Source organism: Homo sapiens, chromosome 1, assembly GCF_000001405.40.
Source record: "Homo sapiens chromosome 1, GRCh38.p14 Primary Assembly".
Taxonomy (NCBI): Eukaryota; Metazoa; Chordata; class Mammalia; order Primates; family Hominidae; genus Homo; species Homo sapiens.
In genome coordinates, this window is record NC_000001.11 from 211,070,000 (window position 1) to 211,084,240 (window position 14,241).

General features: G+C 39.5%; 1 protein-coding gene across 3 annotated transcripts in view; it reads right to left on the bottom strand.

Annotated features, from left to right (window-relative positions):
- The window catches only part of KCNH1 (potassium voltage-gated channel subfamily H member 1), a 455,835-nt gene that overhangs the window by 391,686 nt on the left and 49,908 nt on the right, over positions 1–14,241 (bottom strand). For all 3 annotated transcript variants that reach the window (XM_047419823.1, NM_002238.4, NM_172362.3), the window contains exon 5: positions 12,781–12,899. In XM_047419823.1, coding sequence (XP_047275779.1) covers positions 12,781–12,899 — 119 coding nt within the window. The remainder of the gene's footprint in view (positions 1–12,780; positions 12,900–14,241) is intronic.

The window sequence follows — 14,241 nt, forward strand, 5'->3', positions numbered from 1 at the left end:
ATATCAGAAGGAAAAGTAAGACAAGAACAAAAGAAATATTCAAAGCAATAATCACTGAGAATTTTCCCAAATTAATGTCACCCACCAAACCTCAGATCACAGAAGTGCAGAAAACACCAACTCAGATAAATACCACAAAAACGGCTGGGGGGCTCACATCTGTAATCCCAGCACTTTGGGAGGCCGAGGCTGGCAGATCACGAGGTCAGGAGATGGAGACCATCCTGGCTAACACAGTGAAACCCCGTCTCTACTAAAAATACAAAAAATAAGCCGGGCGTAGTGGTGAGCGCCTGTAGTCCCAGCTACTCGGGAGGCTGAGGCAGGAGAATGGCGTGAGCCCGGGAGGTGGAGCTTGCAGTGAGCCAAGATCGCACCACCGCACTCCAGCCTGGGCGACAGAGCGAGACTCCACCTTTAAAAAAAAAAAAACACACACACACACACACACACACACACAAACAAACAAATCCAGTCATATCATATTCAAACTGCAGAATATCTAAGATAACCAAAAAATTCCTTTAAAAACTCAGAGGGGAGGCCAGGTGTGGTGGCTCACATCTGTAATCCCAGCACTTTGGGAGGCCAAGGCAGGCAGATCACTTCAGGTCAGGAGTTGGAGACCAGCCCGGCCAACATGGCGAAACCCCGTCTCTACTAAAAATACAAAAAGTAGCCAGGCATGGTGACGGGTGCCTGTAATCCCAGCTACAGGAGGCTGAGACAGGAGAATCGCTTGAACCCAGGAGGTGGAGGTTGCAGTGAGCCAAGATCATGCAATTGTTCTCCAGTCTGGGGGACAGAGCGAGACTCCATCTCAAAAAAAAAAAAATTAGGAAAAAAAAAATCACCTAGCCTAAAAAGAAGGAAAGATAAGAATTACAGTTGGCCCTTGAACAATGCAGGAGTTAGGGACACCGATGCCCCCACACAGTCAAATCTACATATAACTTTTGACTCTAAAAATTTACTAATAGCCTACTACTGACCAGAAGCCTTACCAATAATATAAAGTCAATTAACACATCTTTTGTATGTTATTTTGTATTACATACTGTATTCTTACAACAAAGCTACAGAAAATAAAATGTTACTAACAAAATCATAAGGAAGGAAAATACATTCACAGTAATGTACTGTATTTATCAATACCATAAATTTATATCATCTGTTTCCAATATGAATAGTCTGTCTGAAATGGCAGGCAACCGCAGCTGCAGACCCCAATCTATGATACATATGAAGCAATCTAACTTTTTCTTGTAACTAGTGCCACCTCGTATGGGTCCCCCAGTGTTATCAAGGTTTATGATATTCTACTAAACACGATAAAAAAAAACATGCTAGAGATTCTTGATGAGAACCTTGAGAGATCACTTTTTACTGCTATATAAAATTTACTAGAGAGAAGAACTGTTCAGGATGAGAGGATTAGCGTCACAACATTTAAGTGGACACTCACGATACTTGAGTTCACAGCAAGAACAACAGGAAGTTGCTACAAAACTATTACAGTAGTAAAGTGTATACTTTAGTTCATGTTATGCAGTTATGATTTAATACTGCATCTTTACGTCTGTAAATGTTGTTTGTGTGGAAACGTTTTTATAAATTTTAACTTTTTATAATAGATTTGTTTATATTTTACGATAATAATAAAATAGACTAGTGTCTACATATATTTTATGCATTCATGACATACCTAATTTTTTCAATATTTCTAGGCTATGCAGTTGGTCTGCATGTTTTTCAAGTCATTGTAAATCTCCAAAAAATTTTCAGTATACTTATTGAAAAACAATCCACATATTAGTGGACTCACATAGTTCAAACCCATGTTATTCAAGGGTCAACTGTACATCCAACTTCTCAGAAACCATGCAAGCAAGAAGATAAGTGGAGTGAGGTATTTAAAGAGTTGGGAGGAAAAAAAAACCCACCAACCTAGAATTTTGGGCCCTGTGAAATTATCCTTCAAAAGTGAAGGAAAAGGCCAGGCAGAGTGGCTCACACCTGTAATCCCAGCACTTTGGGAGGCGGAGGTGGGAGGATCACCTGAGGTCAGGAGTTCAAGACCAGCCTGGCCAGCATGGTGAAACCCCATCTCTACTAAAATTACAAAAATTAGCCGTGCATGGTGGCACACACCTGTAATCCCAGCTACTCAGGAGGCCAAGGCAAGAGAATCACTTGAACCTGGGAGGTGGAGATTGCAGTGAGCCAAGATCATGCTACTGCACTCCAGCCTGGGCGGCAGAGGGAGAATCCATCTCCAAATAAAAAAAGGAAAAATAGACTTTCTCAGACAAAAATGGAGTGAATTTGTTGCCAGTAGACCTGCCTTGCAAGAAATGTCAAAAGAAGTCCTTCAGAGGGATTGAGAATGATATAGGTCAGACACTCAGAGGTACATCAAGAAACAAACAGCATCAGAGAAGGAATAAGTGAAGGTAAAATGAAATTTTTATTTTACTTATTTTTAACTAATCTAACAGATGACAGTTCAATGAAAAATAACATGTATTCAATTATGCTTGTATATGTGTGTTTGTGTTTATGTATATGTGAAATTAGTTAAAGCAATGATACAAGGAATGAGAGGAATTAGGAATATCTTCCTATTATAAGGTACTTAGTATAGTATTATTTGAAAGAGGTTTGGATTAGTTGTAAATGTATTTTGCAAACTTTAGGGCAACCACTGAAAAAAAAATTTTTTTTGCATTTTGATTGCTGCTAAGGAAGGAGAAAAAGTTGAATCACATAAAATGCTCAGTTAAAACCAAAAAAGGCAGAAAAAGAATGGAAGACAAAATAAGAAGAAAAAGGGCAATGAATAGAAAAAAGCAACAAATACCAGAGATATTAATTCAACTATATCAATAATCACTTTAAACTTCAGTGGTCTAAATATACAAAAGACACAGACTGTCAGACCGGATGAAAAAACAAGACCCAACTATATGTCGTCTACAGAAAGTCACTTTAAATATGAAGACACATATTGATTAAAAAGTAAAGAGATGGAGAAAGATATATCATGCTAAAAGTAATCAAAGGAAAGCAGGAGTAGCTGTATTAATTTCAGACAGAGCAGACTTCAAAGCAAGAAAAGTTATCAGAAACAGAGAGGGGCATTATAATGATAAAAGAGTCAATTCTCAAAAAAGACATAATCTTTAACATCTGCACATCTAACAATAGAGCATCAAAAAATGTCAGGAAAAAATTGATACAACTGCAAGGAAAAATAGATGAATTCATTATTATAGTTGAAGACTTCAATGCCTCTCTATCAGATATGGACAGATTTAGCAGGCAGAAAATCAGTAAGGATATAGTTGAACTCAATAATACCATCAATCAACTGGATATAATGAACATGTAGAGACTACTTTGTCCAACAATAGCAGAAATCACATTCTCTCAAGGTCACATGGAACATTCACTAAGATAGGCCACATTCTGGGCCATGTAACACACCTTAACAAACAAATAGAAATCATACAATGTCTGCTCTCAGGCCACAGTGGAATTAAACTAGAAATCAGTTAGAGAAAACAGCTAGAAAATCCAAAAATACTTGGAGACTAAACAACACACTTCTAAATAATACATAGGCCAAAGAATATATCTCAAGAGAAAATAAAATATATTTTAACTAAATGAAAAAGAGAATACAAATTAAAATTCGTGGCATGCAGCAAAAGCAGTGTTTAGAGGGAAATTTTTAGCATTAAATGCATATACTAGAAAAGAAAAAAATCAAAAATCAATAAGCTTCTGCTTTAGGAAACTAAAAAATTAAAGCAAATTAAATCCAAAGTAAGCAGAAGAAAAGAACAAAAATTGGAGCAGAAAGCAATGAAATTGAAAACAAAAAGTCAATAGAAAAAAATCAACAAAACCAAAAGCTCATTCTTTGAAAAAAATCAATAAAAATCAATAAGCCTCTAGCCAGGCTAACTAAAACATACTAGCCCCTGAGATGAGACCCAGATGTTTGCCTTATATTGGCAATCAATGAGCAACCACTTATGCCAGACCAGTAGACTAAAACTCATTGTTTCCTTTCTTTCATTCATTCCACCAATTAAAAAAAAAAAAAAAAAAAACCTTAATACTGAGTAACTACTATGTGCCAAACACCATTCTAAGTGCTTGAGATTTATCACTGAATAAACACAATAAGTAAGTAAACTGTATGTTACATTAGAAGGTATCAAGTGGAAGAAAACATAGATCAGATTAAAAAGAGGACTAGGAGTTATAATTTTTCCTTAATTTGGTATAAATTTATATATATATAATACTATTAGTTTCATCCCTTTCTTATCCTCTTACATAACATAAATATATTAATAATAGTTAATTTTATATCATAGTTATTTGAATTACAGGATAGGAAGAAGAAAAATGAACATCACCAATGACTTTGCATCCTCTTTTGGGGAAAAGGCTGGCATATTTTCCATTGTACGTACAGTAATTGTATCACGTTAGATGGAAGTATGATTTTCTTATTGACTTATTTGGAGATTAAATATGGATTATAAAAATGTATATGGGTATCAAGTTGACAAGAGGTGAACTGTAATAATTCTATGTATCAACTTGGCTATGCTGTGGCACTCAGGTATTTAAGCCAACACTAAAATAAATGTTGCTGTAAAAGTATTATGTAGATGTGATTAATATCTATAATCAGTCAATTTTCAGGAAAAGATATAATCCTCTGTAATCTGAATGGGCCTCATCCAGTCAGTCGAAAGGTGTTAAAAGCAGAACTGAGTTTTCCTAAGGAAGAAAGAATTTGCTTGTGAACTTCAGCATCAGCTCTTCCCAAGGGTTTCCATCTGTCAACCTGCCCTGTGAATTTCGGACACAAGCAGCCAATCACCACAATCACATAAGCCAATTCTTTGCAATAAATCTCTTAATATTAAGTATCCTACCAGCTCTGTTTCTCTGGTAGAACTCTGACTGATACAGTTAGCTACGTAGAGAAAATGACATTTGGGCAAAGACTTGCAGTTAAGCATGGTGTGTACAAGGAAAACCAAAAAGGCCAGTGTAGCCGAATAAGAGTGAGCAAGGGGAGAGATGTAGGAGAGGAGGTTTTTCTATTAACCATAAGAAGCAGCAGAGAAAGTACAGGCTGTGAGTTGAAAGGTCTCCTTTAGTATCCTTTCTATCATCAGCCAAGCCCACATCATGACAAAAAATGATGCTACCATCATCCAAATATCTGTCCTTGTCCAAAATGGTACAAATGAATGCTCCCCATCTCCACTGTTGACAAAAGCTTCTGGTTACTACAAGGAGATCTTCTGTAGCTAACTCATTTGACATTACTGCATATATTCAGAACATTCTTTGTGAGCTGCATCATGTTGGTAGTGTCTCCACTAGAGGTATGGAACTCTGGAGCCAGGTTAGAAAGGGTCCCACCATCCAAACGTGGATCAAGGACTGACCAGCCATCTACAGGCAATGGGACAGTTTACCTGTTATCCTTGGGTAAGAAGGAGATTTGGAGTCAAGAAGGTATAATGCTTCTAACTGGCCCCACCCAGGTGTAGTTGAAAAAATAAAGAACAGGATTCCGGATCCAAGATGGCCGAATAGGAACAGCTCTGGTCTGCAGCTCCCAGCGTGATCAATGCAGAAGATGGGTGATTTCTGCATTTCCAACTCAGGTACCTGGTTCATTTCATTGGGACTAGTTGGACAGTGGGTGCAGCCCACAGAGGGCAAGCCGAAGCAGGGCGGAGCATTGCCTCACCCAGGAAGTGCAAGGGATCGGGGGATTTCCCTTTCCTAGCCAAGGGAAGCTGTGACAGACAGCACCTGGAAAAACGGGATACTCCCACCCAAATACTGTGCTTTTCCAATGGTATTAGCAAATAGCACACCAGGAGATTATATCCCGCACCTGGCTCAGCCGATCCCAAGCCCATGGAGCCTTGCTTACTGCGAGCACAGCAGTCTGAGATTGACCTGCGAGGCAGCAGCCTGGCAGGGGGAGGGGCATCCACCATTACTGAGGCTTGAGTAGATAAGCAAAGCAGCTGGGGAAGCTTGAACTGGGCAGAGCCCACCACAGTTCAGCAAGGCCTACTGCCTCTGTAGTCTCCACCTCTGCGGGCAGGGCATAGCTGAACAAAAGACAGCAGACAACTTCTGCAGACTTAAACATCCCTGTCTAACAGCTCTGAAGAGAGCAGTGGTTCTCCCAGCACAGTGTTTGACCTCTGAGAATGGACAGACTGCCTCCTCAAGTGGGTCCTTGATCTCCATGTAGCCTAACTTGGAGACACCTCCCAGTAGGGTCCGACTGACACCTCACACAGGCGGGTGCCCCTTGGGGATGAGGCCTCCAAAGGAAGGATCAGGCAGCAATATTTGCTGTTCTGCAATATTTGCTGTTCTGCAGCCTCCATTGGTGATATCCAGGCAAACAAGATCTGGAATGGACCTCCAGCAAACTCCAACAGACCTGCAGCTGAGGGACCTGACTGTTAGAAGGAAAACTAACAAACAGAAAGGAATAGCATCAACATCAACAAAAAGGATAACCACACCAAAACCCCATCTGTAGACCACCAACATCAAAGACCAAAGGTAGATAAAACCACAAAGATGAGGAGAAACCAGATCAGGAAAGCTGAAAATTCCAAAAACCTGAGAGCCTCTTCTCCTCCAAAGGATCGCAGCTCCTCGCCAGCAATGGAACAAAGCTGGATGGAGAATGACTTTGATGAGCTGACAGAAGTAGGCTTCAGAAGGTCGGTAATAACAAACTTCTCTGAGCTAAAGAAGGATGTTCGAACCCATCGCAAGGAAGCTAAAACCTTGAAAAAAGATTAGATGAATGGCTACCTAGAATAAACAGTGTAGAGTAGACCTTAAATGACCTGATGGAGCTGAAAACCATGGCACAAGAACTATGCGACACATGCACAAGCTTCAATAGCCAATTCGATCAAGTGGAAGAAAGGGTATCAGTGATTGAAAATCAAATTAATAAAATAAAGTGAGAGGAGAAGTTTAGAGAAAAAAGAGTAAAAACAAATGAACAAAGCCTCCAAGAAATATGGCACTATGTGAAAAGACCAAATCTACATTTGATTGGTGTACCTGAAACTGATGGGGAGAATGGAACCAAGTTGGAAAACACTCTGCAGGATATTATCCAGGAGAACTTCCCCAACCTAGCGAGACAGGCCAACATTCAAATTCAGGAAATACGGAGAACTCCACAGACACTCCTCGGAACAGCGACCCCAAGATACATGATTGTCAGATTCACCAAGGTTGAAATGAAGGAAAAAATGTTAAGGGCAGCCAGGTAGAAAGGTCGAGTTACCCACAAAGGGAAGCCCATCAGACTAACAGCGGATCTCTCAGCAGAAACTCTTACAAGCCAGAAGAGAGTGGGGGCCAATATTCAACATTCTTAAAGAAAATAATTTTCAACCCAGAAGTTCATATCCAGCCAAACTAAGCTTCATAAGCAAAGGATAAATAAAATACTTTACAGACAAGCAAACCCTGAGAGATTTTGTCACCACCAGGCCTGCCCTAAAAGAGCTCCTGAAGGAAGCACTAAACATGAAAAGGAACAACCACTACCAGCCACTGCAAAAACATACCAAATTGTAAAGACTATAAATGCTAGGAAGAAACTGCATCAACTAACGGACAAAATAACCAGCTAACATCATAATGACAGGATCAAATTCACACATAACAATATTAACCTTAAAAGTAAATGGGCAAAATGCCCCAATTAAAAGACACAAAATGGCAAACTGGATAAAGAGTCAAGCCCCATCAGTGTGCTATATTCAGGAGACCCATCTCACATGCAGAGACACATATAGGCTCAAAATAAAGGGATGGAGGAAGATCTACTAAGCAAATGGAAAGCAAAAAGAAAAAAAAAAAAGCAGGGTTGCAATCCTAGTCTCTGATAAAAACAGACTTTAAACCAACAAACATCAAAAGAGACAAAGAAGGCCATTACATAATGGTAAAGGGATCAATTCAATAAGAAGAGCTAACTATTCTAAATATATATTCACCCAATACAGGAGCACCCAGATTCATAAAGCAAGTCCTTAGAGACCTTAAAAGAGACTTAGACTCCAACCCAGTAATCATGGGAGAGGTTAATAACCCACTGTCAATATTAGACAGATCAATGAGACAGAAGGTTAACAAGGATATTCAGGACTTGAACTCAGCTCTGCACCAAGCAGACCTAATAGACATCTACAGAACTCTCCACCCCAAATCAACAGAATATACATTCTTCTCAGCACCACATCATACTTATTCCAAAATTGACCACACAGTTGGAAGTAAAGCACTCCTCAGCAAATGTAAAGAACAGAAATCACAACAATCTGTCCCTTAGATCACAGTGCAATCAAACTAGAACTCAGGATTAAGAAACTCACTCAAAACCGCTCAACTACATGGAAACTGAACAACCTGCTCCTGAATGACTACTGGGTGCATAACGAAATGAAGGTAGAAATAAAGATGTTCTTTGAAACCAATGAGAACAAAGACACAACGTACCAGAATCTCTGGGACACATTTAAAGCAGTATGTAGAGGGAAATTTATAGCACTAAATGCCCACAAGAGGAAGCAGGAAAGATCTAAAATTGACATCCTAACATCACAATTAAAAGAACTAAAGAAGCAAGATGAAACAAATTCAAAAGCTAGCAGAAGGCAAGAAATAACTAAGATCATAGACAGGCATGGTGGTGGGCGCCTATAGTCCCAGCTGCTCGGGAGGCTGAGGCAGTAGAATGGCGTGAACCCGGGAGGCAGAGCTCACAGTGAGCCGAGATCACACCACTGCACTCCAGCCTGGGTGACAGAGCGAGACTCCGTCTCAAAAAAAAAAAAAAAAAAAAGAAAGAAAGAAAGAAATAACTAAGATGAGAGCAGAACTGAAGGAGATAGAGACACAAAAAAAACCTTCAAAAAATCAATGAATCCAGGAGCTGGTTTTTTGAAAAGATCAACAAAATTGATAGACCACTAGCAAGACTAATAAAGAAGGAAAGAGAGAAGAATCAAATAGACACAATAAAAAAATGATAAAGGGGTTATCACCACCAATCCCACAGAAATACAAACTACCATCAGAGAAAACTATAAACACCTCTATGCAAATAAACTAGAAAATCTAGAAGAAATGGATAAATTCCTGGACACATATGCCCTCCCAAGACTAAACCAGGAAGAAGGGGAATCTCTGAATAGACCAATAACAGGATCTGAAATTGAGGCAATAATTAATAGCCTACCAACCAAAAAAACTCCACGACCAGATGGATTCACAGCGAAATTCTACCAGAGCTACAAAGAGGAGCTGGTACCATTCCTTCTGAAACTATTCCAATCAATAGAAAAAGAGGGAATCCTCCCTAACTCATTTTACGAGGCCAGCATCATCCTGATACCAAAGCCTGGCAGAAACACAACAAAAAAAGAGAATTTTAGACCAATATCCCTAATAAACATTGATGTGAAAATCCTCAGTAAAATACGGGCAAGCCAAATCCAGCAGCACATCAAAAAGTTTATCCAGCATGATCAAGTTGGCTTAATCCCTGGGATGCAAGGCTGGTTCAACATATGCAAATCAATAAACATAATCCATCATATAAACAGAACCAACGACAAAAACTACATGATTATCTCCATAGATGCAGAAAAGGCCTTCAACAAAATTCAACAGCCCTTCATGCTAAAAACTCTCAGTAAACTAGGTACTGATGGAATGTATCTCAAAATAATAAGAGCTATTTATGACAAACCCACAGCCAATATCATACTGAATGGGCAAAAACTGGAAGTATTCCCTTTGAAAACTGGCACAAGACAGAGATGCCCTCTCTCACCACTCCTATTCAACATAGTGTTGGAAGTTCTGGCCAGAGCAATCAGGCAAGAGAAAGAAATAAAAGGTATTTAATTAGGAAAAGAGGAAGTCAAATTGTCCCTGTTTGCAGATGACATGACTGTATATTTAGAAAACCCCATCGTCTCAGCCCAAAATCTCCTTAAGCTGATAAGCAACTTCAGCAAAGTCTCAGGATTCAAAATCAATGTGCAAAAATCACAAGCATTTGTACACACCAATAATAGACAAACAGAGAGCCAAATCATGAGTGAACTCCCATTCACAATTGCTTCAAAGAGAATAAAATACCTAGGAATACAACTTACAAGGGATGTGAAGGACCCCTTCAAGGAGAACTACAAACCACTGCTCGATGAAATAAAAGAGGACACAAACAAATGGAAGAACATTCCATCCTCATGGATAGGAAGAAGCAATATCATGAAAATGGCCATACTGCCCAAAGTAATTTATAGATTCAATGCCATCCCCATCAAGCTACCAATGACTTTCTTCACAGAATTGGAAAAAACTACTTTAAAGTTCATGTGGAACCAAAAAGAGCCCATATTGCCAAGACAATCCTAAGCAAAAAGAACAAAGCTGGAGGCATCATGCTACCTGACTTCCAACGATACTACAAGGCTACAGTAACCAAAACAGTGTGGTACTGGTACCAAAACAGATATATAGACTAATGGAACAGAACAGAGGCCTTAGAAGTAACACCACACATCTACAACCATCTGATCTTTGACAAACCTGACAAAAACAAGAAATGGGGAAAGGATTCTCTATTTAATAAATGGTGCTGGGAAAACTGGCTAGCCATATTGGAAAGCTGAAACTGAACCCCTTCCTTACACCTTATACAAACATTAATTCAAGATGGATTAAGGACTTAAATGTGAGAACTAAAACCATAAAAACCCTAGAAGAAAACCTAGGCAATACCATTCAGGACATAGGCATGGGCAAGGACTTCATGACTAAAACACCAAAAGCAATGGCAACAAAAGCCAAAATAGACAAATGAGATTTAATTAAACTAAAGAGCTTCTGCACAGCAAAAGAAACTACCATCAGAGTGAACAGGCAACCTACAAAATGGGAGAAAATTTTTGCAATCTACCCATCTGACAAACGGCTAATATCCAGAATCTACAAAGAACTCAAACAAATTTACAAGAAAAAAACAAACAACCCCATCAAAAAGTGGGCAAAAGATATGAACAGACACTTCTCAAACGAAGACATTTATGCAGCCAACAGACACATGAAAAAATGCTCATCATCACTGGTCATTAGAGAAATGCAAATCAAAACCACGATGAGATACCATCTCACACCAGTTAGAATGGCGATCATTAAAAAGTCAGGAAACAACAGGTGCTAGAGAGGATGTGGAGAAATAGGAACACTTCTACACTGTTGGTGGGACTGTAAACTAGCTCAACCATTGTGGAAGACAGTGTGGTGATTCCTCAAGGATCTAGAACTAGAAATACCATTTGACCCAGCAATCCCATTACTGGGTATATACCCAAAGGATTATAAATCATGCTACTATAAAGACACATGCACACGTACATTTATTACGGCACTATTCACAATAGCAAAGAACTTGGAACTGACCCAAATGTCCATCAATGATAGGCTGGATTAAGAAAATGTGGCACATATACACCATGGAATACTATGCAGCCATTAAAAAGGATGAGTTCATGTCCTTTGCAGGGACATGGATGCAGCTGGAAACCATCATTCTGAGCAAACTATCACAAGGCAGAAAACCAAACACCACATGTTCTCACTCATAGTTGGGAATTGAACAATGAGAACACTTGGACACAGGGCAGGTAACATCACACCCCGGGGCCTGTCATGGGATGGGGGACGGGGGAGGGATAGCGTTAGGAGAAATACCTAACATAAATGATGAGTTAATGGATGCAGCAAACCAACATGGCACATGTATACCTATGTAATAAGCCTGCACTTTGTGCACATGTACCCTAGAACTTAAAGTATAACAAAGAGAAGTTAAAAAATTAAAAAATAAAAAATAAAATAAAAATAAAGACCAGGCACCATCAAAGGCAGATAATGACAAGTTGGGTGCATAAAGCCTAATAAGATACCTTGTCAGGGCTTCCTAGCCTCTTACTTGCCCCAGCAAAAAGAAGAATGCCAAATTTTCCTAACTACAAAGATTATCAAAATAATAACAATTTTAAGTATATTTATTAAGATGTAAAAATGTTCATGATTATATAAAGTGAAGAAAAGGCAACATAATCACATTTAATGTATACACTATTCCTAGATGTGTCTGAATTTCATAAACATTAACATTTGAAAAATGAATTTCTTAGCATTTAGGAAATAGGATATCTACAAAGAAACAAGTTAAATGCACACACCAAAAAAATGTAAAATGCCATGTGGTTGTTGTGATTACAGGTACTTTTTATTTTCTTCTTTTCACTACCTGTATCTTCTTTGCCTATAACAGTATGAATTGCTCTAATAACAAAATTGTTTAAAAACTCCTTCATGTACATGAAGCACTTCTAGCTCCTCATAAAAGTGATTTGACACTTTTAATCTCAAGCAAGCTGAAACAGAGCTTTTCCAGCCTGCTTTTGCACATGGGAAAGTGTAAAGCTCAAAGGAGTTAGGTCACTTACCCAGTATCATACACTGTGGTGTGTAAGCCCAGCCAAGACAGGCGTCTGGGGGTCCTGAAGGTCCTCTCCATGATTAGCACACTAGTTTTGTGCCATTGCCTCAGCCCATGCACCCCCTAAAAGTGAGGCTCAAGATGAGCTAACCCTTTGCCCTTACCTCTGCCAGGCGGGAGTGCTTGTGGACATTCTCGCCTTTTTGCACGCTTGGAGCCAGCTGCTGCAGGACACCCCTGCTGCTTGTCAGTGCTCTTGTCAGCCGAGCAAACTTCCCCCAGCCTGAAGCAAGTGGAAGAGTGAAAAGACAGGGTCAACCACATCCCAAAGGTGCACAGACATTCACATTACAAGTTATACTGTCAGAAACAGACACCTCCAATGCCCTCCTAAGCTCCCATGAGTCACTCTGCATCCCTGCAAGCAAGACCCACTGCTCCGTAAAGCACCTTGTGTGTCGCAACTTGCTTTTCCCCTGCACTTTCACTTCATCCTAATCGTAGTTTGTGAAGTTGGTACAGCAGGTTTTAGTACCATTTTACAAATAGGGAGACTAAGACACAGAGTGCCTGGACAATGAGAAAGAGTCTAGAACATCTCTTCACTCTGGCCCAAGCCTTCTTCAGAAGATAATATCGGGTAATTGAGATGTTTCTGTGACTTGGTAACTTGGCTCAGGCTGTTCCCAGTCCCCAGGCTATCTGATCTTGCAGAAACAGTTGGTTCTGCATTTTAAATGGACAAGCTAGTCAAATGGCCATTCTATGCATTACCTTCTCCAAGGCCAGAGGAATAAGAAATGATTTCAACCCCTGGGTAGGTGGGGGAAAAGCAGTGGTAGATTTTAGTCTGCTTTAGGATGGGAGAAAGATGGTTGGTGACAGGTCCTTACTGAGAATCGAAGATGTCTGAGTGATCTTGACACCTTTTAAAGGCCCCCAAAGACAACTGTCCATTTCAACACTCAACAACCCATCTGTATCAAGGTTATGACCATGGCAGTTGCCCCATCAGACCCTTGAAGTCCTGTCAGTATTCTCAAGACCAGGCTTGGGTTTTAGGAGCTCCAAAAACCCAGATGTGGGGTATACAGCAAATAAACAGAGCATGCAACTATTTTTACATTACAGCTAAAAGCAGGACTAGATGATTTTATTTTTTTATATCCTTCAGAGTTTAGAAGCATTCAGCAACTTCCAGTAGAAATCTCATCTGCCAAATTTTACCCTGGAGCAACTTTCCAAGATAGACTTATAGAATCCAGAGGACAGTGGAGTTAAACAGAAAAATGTCCATATTTTATTTTTCTACACAACCTATGAGAATCATAAACTGGATAAATTTTTGTCAATATAATAAGAATAGCAAATCAGCTCTTTTTTATCTCATTCAAGAAGTGCCAGGCTTTAATAAAAAGCCAGTAGTGCTTTCATCCACCCTGATGCCACAAAGCAGAAATGTGGAACTGCTGGGGTTGGCTTGAAAAGATACACATAGTGGTTTCACTGTGGGGGGGTCCCATTAATGTTAACAGGAGGGCACAGCATGGACTCTGTAGGGGTCTTTGACATCTCCCCCAGTGTCAATGAATGTGCTATGGGAACTATGAACTAAGATTTTTTTA